The sequence below is a fragment of the Homo sapiens genome, chromosome 14 (genome assembly GCF_000001405.40).
Source record: "Homo sapiens chromosome 14, GRCh38.p14 Primary Assembly".
Taxonomy (NCBI): domain Eukaryota; kingdom Metazoa; phylum Chordata; class Mammalia; order Primates; family Hominidae; genus Homo; species Homo sapiens.
In genome coordinates, this window is record NC_000014.9 from 54,906,011 (window position 1) to 54,917,040 (window position 11,030).

Sequence of the window (11,030 nt, forward strand, 5' to 3'; positions counted from 1 at the left end):
GTGTTTCCCTGAGTTCTTTGAGTCACTCTAGCAAATTAATTGAACCCAAAGAGGGGGTTGTGGAAACCCCAACTTGAAGCCAGTCAATCAAAAGTTCCAGAGGCCCAGACTTGTGAGTGGTGGAAAGGAGGGGCCAGTGTTGGGGACTGAGCCTTCAACTTGTGGGATCTACAGCTATCTCCAGGTAGGCAGAATCAGAATTGAATTAAATAAGAGGGAGGACACCTAGCTGATGTCCCCTGCTTGGTGTGTGGGAGAAAACCCCCACCCATTTGGTCACAGAGTCTTCTGTGTTGACTGTTGTTGTGGTATAACAGCAGAAGAAAACCACAGTTTCAATTTGTCCAAACACCAAGGGTAATAGACAAACTAACATTGGGTATTTGGCAACAGTAATTGGAAAAAAGCAAATTTAAGTGAACTTGATGGAGGCTCTATACTTGAAATTCAAACTCTGGAGGAGATTTTGGATCAAGGTAGAAAGGTACAAAGAAAAGGTGGCCGGGCATGGTGACCCAAGCCCGTAATCCCAGCACTTTGGAAGGCCAAGGCAGGTGAATCATTTGAGGTCAGTAGTTCAAGAATAGCCTGGCCAACGTGATGGAACCCCGTCTCTAATAAAAAATACAAAAATTAGCCGGGCATGATGGTAGGCACCTGTAGTCCCAGCTACTCAGGAGGCTGAGGCAGAAGAATCATTTGAATCTGGGAGGCAGAGGTTCCAGTGAGCCAAGATCACGCCACTGCACCCCAGCCTGGATGACACAGCGAGACTCCATCTCAAAAAAAAAAAAGGCCCAAGAGCCTCATATTGAGTATAATAAGCCATCCAAAGCCTAAATGTACCCATAAAGGATACCCTAACAGACATGTGTCCCTGGTAGAGAATCTGCAATACCATCTCAGAAGAACAGGCAGATGCTAAGAGGGATGCTAATAGAAAGTGCACCTCAGCGCTGCTGAACTCTGTCCCTGCCTCCACATTACCCCAGAAGAAGGGATGCAACACAGCTCCTCAAGCTCCAGACTGCAGCAGAGTCAGGAAAACAAAAGGGCTTCTGTTATCATGGAAAAACCTGAAGATGTCTCAACAATATCAGAGATACGCAGTGTCAGGAAACAGCCTCCCAAGCATGGGCAGGGGGCAGAGAAACAGCATGGCAACCGTGCAAACACACACCAGCCAAACAAAACAAAAGAAAACCAAGGGGGAACATCATATGGCATGCAGGAGACATAAAGGCAAATAATGCAACTAAGAAGAAAGCAAATCTCATGGAACAGAAGAAAATTCCTCACGAATGTTTGATGCCAGAGACTAACTCAATAAAAGTATAAATTCAGGCTGGGTGCAGTGGCTCATGCCTGTAATCCCAGCACTTTGGGAGGTTGAGGCAGGAAGATCACCTGAGGTCAGGAGTTCGAGACCAGCCTGGCAAACATGGTGAAACGCTGTCTGTATTAAAAATACAAAAATTAGCCAGCGTGGTGGGCACCTGTAATCTCAGCTACTTGGGAGGCTGAGGCAGGAGAATGGCTTGAACTTGGGAGGCAGAGGTTGCAGTAAGCTGAGATCACGCCACTGCACTCCAGCCTGGGCAACAGAGCGAGACTCAGTCTAAAAAAAACAGACAAACAAACAAAAATCATGAATTTAATAAGACAAAAGCCAAAATAATAGAATTGAAAGGGGAGCTATGGATCAACAAAATAAATTGAGGACCATCATTATTATAGAATCAATTAGAAAGAACCATGTACAAAGTAGATACTGCTGAAACTGTAATTGCTGACATAAGGAAAGACGTGAGAGTGAATACAGAACAAAAGACAAACATGAAAGCTATTAGAGAAGACAAAGATGATCCAGTGTAAGGATAATTAGGGTTCCTGAGGTAAAGAACTCAATGAATGTGAGGGAATGTAATCAAATATATCACACAAGTGTATTAATCCTTACATTTATGTTTGATTGATTTTTGACAAGGATGCCAAGACAATTTAATGGGGAAAGAAGACTCTTTTCAACAAATGATACTAGGACGACTGGATATCTACATACAAAAGGAAGAAGTTGAACCTCTATCTCACAACATATACAAAAATAAACTCATCGGGTAGGTGCAGTAACAGCCACCTGTGGTCCCAGCTATGCTGGAGGCTGAGGCTGGAGAAGTCTTGAGCCCAGGAGTTTGAGGCCAGCCGGGGCAACATAGCGAGATCTTATCTCTAAAAAATAAAACAAAAGAAAATCAGAATGTAAGAGGTAAAATTATTAAACTCTTGGAAGAAAATATAGGCATAAATCTTCAAGACCTTGAGTTAGGCAATTGGATTTCTTAGAAATGAAACCAAAAGTAGCGCAACAAAAGGAAAAATGTAGAAAAAACCTAACAGCCATGTCATGCGGTGGTAAAGAAACAACCTTCAGTTTCACTGTCTGGGTTCATGGCCTGGCTCCATCAATTATCTTTGTTGTCAATGGGCAAGTTTCTTAATTTCTTTAAGCCTGGTTCCTCCTCTGTAAAATGAGTATTATATATAGAGTCTTTGTCATAGGCTTATTGTGAGAGTTTGAGAGAGCAACAGTATTAGACATATACAATTTGAAAAATAAGTATTGGCCATTATTAATGACAAAAATGTCTTTATACAAAAGCAATATTTTAATTCTAGCAAGTTCCCCTAGATTTTATTGTTGCTACAACCAGTGAAAAAAGAAAAAATTTAAAAATTTTTAAAAAGGCAGATCCCTTGGGGAAAAAAAAATAATATTTGGTGCTGCTTTACTTAAGAGAGTCTAAGTATAGACAGAAAACTTGAAGTGTTCTTTTTTTTTTTTTGAGATGGAGTCTCACTGTTGCAAAGGCTGGCCTTGAACTCCTGGGCTCAAGAAGTGATCCTCGGCCAGGCGTGGTGGCTCACACCTGCAGTCCTAGCACTTTGGGAGGCTGAGGTGGGCAGATCACCTGAGATCAGGAGTTCAAGACCAGCCTGGCCAACATGGTGAAACCCCTAAAAATAAAAAAATTAGCTGGGCATAGTGGCGCATGCCTGTAATCCCAGCTACTGGGGAGGCTAAGGCAGGAGACTCCCTTGAGCCTGGGAGGCGGAGTTTGCAGTGAGCTGAGACTGTGCCACTGCACTCCAGCCTGGGAGAAGAGCAAGACTCTGTCTCAAAAAAAAAAAAAAAGAAGTGATCCTTCCGCCTCAGCCTGCTGAGTAGCTGGGATCACAGGCTCGTGCTACCACACCCAGTTTAAAGTGCTGTTTCTTATCATTAACTGAAAATTAATCAAAAGTTGAAATAAAACATTTCTGTTCCTTGGTTAATGAAAATAGAAAAAAAATTTTTTTTAATTATAATGTAAGTCAATAGGGTATAGTTTGTTTCAAGATTTTCAGCAACAGAGTGATTTAACTGAGGTAAAACTGTATTGTAAATACTACAAGTTTGGTGTTTATTTATTTATTTTAAAGAAGGGGTCTTGCTCTGTTGCCCAGGCTGGAGTGCAGTGGCATGATCATGGCTCACTGCAGCCTTGAATGCCTGGGCTAAACAATCTTCCTAGCTCAGCCTCCCCAGTAGCTGGGACTACAGGAGTGAGCCACCATTTAATATTGTTGCTCTCTCAAACTCTCACACCTAAACTCCACCACCCAACTAGAGTTTGGTTTTTTTGTTGTTGTTTTTTAGAGATGGGGGTCTCACTTTGTTGCCCAGGCTGGTCTCAAACTCCAGGCCTCAACAGATTCTTCTGCCTTGGCCTCCCAAAATACTGGGATTACAGGAGTGAGCCACCGTGCTGGGCTAATATATTTTTTAATGTACTTAGTGCAACACCTGATGACAGAACTATGAAATGATACCTCAAAAGATGCATTTCACTGAATGCAATTTACTATTAAAAGCCCATATGCTGAGTTCCCAACTAGGCATTGCGAAATGACACCATTCATCAAGAAGGCTTTCAAACTTATGTATGATGAGAACACTGGGTCAGGGCTCTATCATCTGAGGAAGGGACAATCTAGACATGGATCAATATCTATCTGCAGAGCATTATCTCCAACACAACAGTGTCCGATGGCAGGGCTGTATGTCTCATCTGCACATTTCCACTGCTCCCCACTTCTCCCGAGCTCCTCTATCGGTAGTAGTTATTTTGGGAGGAGGCCTAGTTTATCCAGAGCAGAGGATTTGTTTTCTAGTCAGCAGATGCTTTCAAGTTGTAATTTAACTGTCAATGAAAAATAAATAAAAGGTGTTGCAAATTCTGTAAGATCTTAGCAATTCATGGAAGCTCTGTTGTTATTGAATGTATCTCCCTCTCAGTTGCCTGGGGAACTGCATTTTAATGTCACACATCAAGCAGCTCTTTCCTGAATGTAATTGTAGTTTTTCTGATGTCATGGTTAAAGCTGTTCAAATGTTTGGCTTCTGGCAAATATTTTCTAACATCATTCATGACAGTGATGGATCTGAAGCAATTTTAATACATTTTTAAATCTCACTAACTTATTAAATAACCAGAGAAAGAATCGTATATAAATTGAAAATATATTCATTACCAGAAGAAGTGTCTAGGAAGATACATGTGAGTCTGTAATGATATGAGGTTTTCATGACTATGATTGGTTCATTGCAGGATAGCATATTAGAGGCCAGGCACGATGTCTCATCAGGGTATGCCATATACCAAGATGAAGCCCTATACCAGATGGACCATTGGTTTCTACAAGTCACTGCTAGATGCCTACCCCAATATCATTTCTCCCCTTCTTTTACTAAAGGATCTCCAACTCAGTTCAGAGAGGCCTGGACTTAGTTCAATACACTTGGACTTGACTTTAAAAAAACACACACGCATTTTCAAGTTCCCTGCAGTTACAATGGCCACATGACATAGTTCTGTCCAATGAGTTATCAGTAGAAATTGCTGGATGGCACTTCTGGGAAAGGCCCTTAAAAGGGGGCAGATTGGTTGCTTTTCTATGTCTAAGGAATATGATAATTAATATTGATATAATATCTGTTTATACCCATCTTGTCCCATGAGAAAATTCTGAGTTAATGTGCAGTTCTGCTCAGGTATTAGATTAACATTTTCATAAGGAACCCTAGTGACAAAAACTGTTGAATTTTAGGCCGGTAGGGAGGTGTTTTTGAGCAGGAAAGCCTGAGTGCCCCTCAGTTTCCAACATACAAGAAGTCCTAGGCCAGGCGTGGTGGCTCATGCCTGTAATCCCAGCACTTTGGAAGGCTGAGGTGGGCAGGCCACTTGAGCTCAGAAGTTCGAGACCAGCCTGGGCAAGATGGTGAAACCCAGTCTTTACAAAAAATACAAAAAAATTAGCCAGGCATGGTGGCCCATGCCTGTAGTCGCAGCTACTGTTTAGCCAGTGAATGGAGCTGGCTTTGGCTTTCATGAACAATAAGGTGTGGGGAGGATGAGATTTGGAATGAGAGGATGAGATTTGGAGGATGAGATTTGTCTAATTTTATGCAATTAGACAAAGGGGTACATTCCAGCACAGCAGTGAGTAAGTCCTAGGTCTTGGGAAATAGCACCCTGTAGGTCTGTATATTTGCAAAGTTGTGGAGAATCTAAAAGGAAAATTGTATAAACTTTCCTCTCCAAGGCTAACTCATTTTCTTTAACTCACTGGTTTAATTTGACCAGTTTCATTCCTTTTGGCTTTCACACCTGTCCAAATCTGCTTGTCTCACTTTTATTATATATATAATATTATTATTTTAAAAAATAAAACATACTTCCCAACTGGTGAGCTTTTATACATATGCATATATAAATATGCAAAATGTTCTTATTGATCTACATAGGCAGTTGTAAATTTTATTTTATTTATTTATTTTTTTGAGATGGAGTCTCGCTCTGTCACCCAGGCTGAAGTGCAGTGACGTGATCTTGGCTCATAGCAACCTCTGCCTCCCAGGTTCAAGCCATTCTCCTGCCTCAGCCTCCCGAGTAGCTGGGATTACAGGTGCATGCCACGATGCCTAGCTAATTTTTTGTATTTTTAGTAGAGATGGGGTTTCACCATGTTAGCCAGGCTGGTCTGGAACTCCTGACCTCAAGTGATCTGCCCGCCTCAGCCTCCCAAAGTGCAGGGATTACGGGGTGAGCTACCACACCTGGCTGTAAATTTTAATAAATGGGTTTGGAAGATACAGTTTAATTAGAAGATTAATGAGACCTTCCAGAATGTTAACACAATAGGAGCGTGTGTTTGAACAGTACACGCCAAACTTCAGTCATTCAAGTACCATCTGGTTCTCTGATTGTGCCTATTTCTGAGGATATTTTAAAAGCTCCAGGATGTACCCCATACAACCAAAAACTTGGAGGGAAGAACAGCAATGTTCCCAGCCTTGTATGTTGTAATCACCAACCTTAAATACATTCCAACTATGAAAGAGAACAGGCCTTTTTGTGGCCAGGCTGGGGAATGGCATCCAACTGATCATAGATCAGATGGAAATCAAGAAATGATCAGAAAGCAAAGAAACTCAACCCTCACCCCATTGTCCCCTCATCACACTTCCTCAAGCCAAGTGAGAAAGACACAGCTAAGTGTTGGGCTAATCCTGTCCTTACATGGAAATCTGAGCAGTGGCAGAGAGTGAGAGGAAACGGAGCCTTTGTAAAGAGACTCGGAAAGTCACTGGTTCTGATTTTGGCAAAGGTGCAGAAGTAAAACAATTTGGCATTTATACAGGCCTGCGTGGAACCCTAGTTTAGTCACTTATTAGAAGCTATGTAACCTTGGACAGATCCCTTAACTACTCTGTACATCATTTTTGTCCTCTAGAAAATAAGCTATCTGCTGAGTGCAGTGGCTCATGCCTGTAATCCCAGCACTTTGGGAGGCTGAGGCGGGAGGATCACTTGAACTCAGGAGTTCAAGACCAGCCTGGGCAACATAGCGAGACCCCTGTCTCTGCTAAAAATAAAATTAAAAAAAATTTAGCCAGGCATGGTGGCAGCTGCCATGAGCTGTGATCGTGCCACTGCACTCCAGCCTGGGCAACATAGCGAGACCCCTGTCTCTGCTAAAAATAAAATTAAAAAAAATTTAGCCAGGCATGGTGGCAGCTGCCATGAGCTGTGATCCTGCCACTGCACTCCAGCCTGGGTGACAGAGTGAGACCCTGTCTCAAAAAGGAAGGAAGCAAGGAAGGAAGGGAGGGAGGGAGGCAGGCCGCCAGGCACTGTGGCTCACACCTGTAATCCCAGCACTTTGGGAGGCCAAGGTGGGAGGATCACTTGAGGTCAGGAGTTCAAGACCAGCCTGGCCAACATGGTGAAACCTTGTCTCTATTCTCCACTAAAAATACAACAATTAGCTGGGTGTGGTGGCACACACCTGTTAATCCCAGCTACACAGGAGACTGAGGCAGGAGAATTGCTTGAACCTGGGAGGCAGAGGTTGCAGTGAGCCAAGATCGCGCCACTGCACTCCAGTCCGAGTGACAGAGTGAGACTCCACCTTGAAAAAGAAAAAGAAAAATGGGACTAATAATACAATAATACCATCCTTGCAAAGTTGTTAAAGTGATTTCTAAAAATACAATGTATATTACATGATTCCATTTATATAAATTTCACAGACACTTTGGGAAGCCAAGGCAAGAGGATTGCTTGAGTCCAGAAGTTCAAGACCAGCCTGGGCAATATAGTGAGACCCCATCTCTATAAAAAATTTAAAAATAAATAAATAAATAGTCAAAAACAGGGAAATCAGTCTGTGATATTGCAAGTTAGGATAGTACCTATCTTTGAGGGGAGGGGAGGGTCTTGCTTGGGAGAGGCACCTTGTGAACTTCTGAGGTATGGGCAGGGACTTGGAAGAAAGGGATACGGGGCTTCACTTTGTGATAGTTCGCTGAGATTTACATTTATGTTGTGGGCACTTTTCTGTATATAAATATACTTGAATTTTGTTGAAGTTGAAAGAAATAACACATATAATGGCTTAGCACTGTGCCCAACATATTCTAGGTGCTTGGTGAATGACACTTGTTATTTGTCATTCATTCTAGATGCCAAAGCCTGTTGGAAGATGTGTAATTGAGAAATCAGTAAGAATGAAATCCAATTTTAAAATTTCCAATAGTTTGTGTTTCTATAACATGTCATTGACATCCCATGTGGAAATTTGAGAAGTATTATTAGAGAGGGGTGTAACTGGAAGCTGTGAAAATTCACATCTGAGGGCACAGAGAACAGGCTCCATTTTGCTGTTATGTAGACTTCCTAGTTCCTGTGTCCCATTGGAGATGCTCTGAAACCTTTTTCTCTAGTCTGTGATCCACCCACCATTTAGGTCTGCATGTGTCCATTTTAAATTAAAATTGAGTTCCCACTATGTAATTTTCCCACTGAAAAGCTGGGGCACGCAAAACCCTGTTGATCTCATCAAATCCTGATTAGTGGCCCTGTTTCTTGAAAATCATGGAAGAAGGCATTTACAATGAAATCCTCATTTTCATTTTTTTTTATTGTCTCAGCTTTTTTTTTTTTTTTTTTTTTTTTTTTTGAGATGGAGTCTTGCTCTGTTGCCAAGGCTGGAGTGCAGTGGTGTATCTCGGCTCACTGCAACCTCCGCCTCCCAGGTTCAAGCGATTCTCCTGCCTCAGCCTCCCAAGCACCTGGGACTACAGACATGCGCCACCACGCCCAGCTAGTTTTTGTATTTTTAGCAGAGACAGGGTTTCACCATATTGGCCAGGCTGGTCTCGAACTCCTTACTTCGTGATCCACCCGCCTCCGCCTCCCAAAGTGCTGGAATTACAGGTGTGAGCCACCATGCCTGGCCATTTGAATGTTAGTAATTGGAAGATTCCACAAAATAGGGTAGAGAATACCCAGAAACATACTTACCTTTGACTCTTAACTGTCCTTACCCTCTCATCCAAGCTTCTCAGACTGACTCCTTGTAATGTGTCTAGACTAAACTGAAACTTTACCTGTTGAAAATAGACAGTTATCAAGGAGCAAAAACAGATCTTTAAACAAGCTTTGAAGATTATCTTAATGGGGCTTAGTTTACACCCCAGGGTAAAAGTGGATCTGATCTTTGTTATCAGCTGAAAGGAACAGATCAGCATAAGCTGTCCAACTTAATTTTTTTTTTTTTAGATGGAATTTCACTCTTTTTGCCCAGGCTGGAGTGTGATGGTGCGCGATCATGGCTCACTGCAACCTCTGCCTCCCAGGTTCAAATGATTCTCATGCCTCAGCCTCCCAAGTAGCTGGGATTACAGGCACCCGCCACAACGCCCGCTAATTTTTTGTATTTTTAGTAGAGATGGGGTTTCACCACGTTGGCCAGGGTAGTCTGGAACTCCTGACCTCAGGTAATCCACCCCCTTGGCCTCCCAACGTGCTGGGATTACAGCATGATTACACCAACGTGCTGAGATTACAGGCATGCGCCACCCACTAAGCCCGGCCCCAACAGAAAGAAAAGAAAAGAAAAGAAAAGAAAAGAGAAGAGAAGAGAAGAGAAGAGAAGAGAAGAGAAGAGAAGAGAAGAGAAGAGAAGAGAAAAGAAAAGAGAAAAGAAAAGAAGAAAAGAAAAGAAAAGAAAAGGAAAAGGAAGATGATTCGTGGGGAGAGTGACAAGAAAAATTAGAAGGAGACTAGTGGGAAATTGCATTTATAATCATGGCGTCTGGGAAGTTTCCGAAACCCCTTGGGAGGAAGTGTTGTTATTTCCATTTTGAAGAGGAAGAAACTGGTTTTTACTTGCAAAATATCAGTAATTTGTTCAGTAAAAGGCTGCCCTCCAAAGCCCCAGCTGGACCAACCCACCATCCTAGCCCCCAGGGGAAAAAAGGAGAGTCAAATGAACAGCAATGTCTCTTTCCAGAGCTCCCTTCTGAAGATCCAGGATTGACAACCAGGAGCCCAGTTGCTCACCTGGAGCTTTCTTTCACACAGTCAGCCTACTCCCTATTGCCTTGTTCCAAGACCCCAGCATCAAGCCAAATTCTAGCCGGTGCCCACCCATTTCCATATCATCAATATCCACTTACACTTTTGTCCAGAGAGATCGACTTGTGGCAAATCTCCTCTTCCATCTTCCCTTTTTTTCTTTTTTTTTTTTTCTTTTATTTTATTATACTTTAAGTTCTAGGGTACATGTGCACAATTGGCCTGCTCTGTCTTTACCAAAAGAAAGTCATCAGCCTCAGGCATCCCATATCTTTCTATGATACACTGCCCCAGGCACCCTGTGAAAGTAGCAGTTCAGAATGTTGCTATCTGCATGGGGAGTAACAATAACAACTGAGTAATGTATTCATTTGCAAGTTAAGCTACTCTCAATTCTTTGCTTTCACCAAAACTGAAAGAGCGTCTAATCATATTGTCAGCTAATAGATCATGTAAGATTATTTTTAATACATTATGTAATTTTTACAGATATATACAATTTTTCATAGAAGCAAGGTAAATAATAACTCCTGCTATTCCCATCTATTCAGTACTTTTGTCTTTAAAAACAAAAATTGGAATAGAATTGATTATGAATATTTTCTCATTCTAGCAATAAACAATATTTATCCATGGCTTCATGAATGAAGTGGGAGGCGAGACCAGTTCTTTTTGTTAAGAAATGGGTTTCCAAAAGAATTGTACTGTTTAGTAAATATAAAATTTTGTGACATGTTTATTTTGTTGTGATACAATATATACTACTAAAAATGAAAAGATAATCCAGAATAACTTCAATAATACTTTAGAGCCTTATGGTCTCAGAAACTAATTCTTAAATTTAAGTTTATACATAAATTCTTTTTGTAGAGAGGCTCATCTGAGACAATCAATAAGAGAAATTTAGATAAAGTTAGGTAAAGGAAAGAGAAATACAAACAAGAAGAAAAATGAAAAAAAGGAAGAGCTTACTCAATGATTTGTATAACTGGATGATGGTAGGGAACAAAGTGCTATAGTATTTACATTCCATTGACTATTCTAAAAATGTGTTATAGTTTTGTTTTA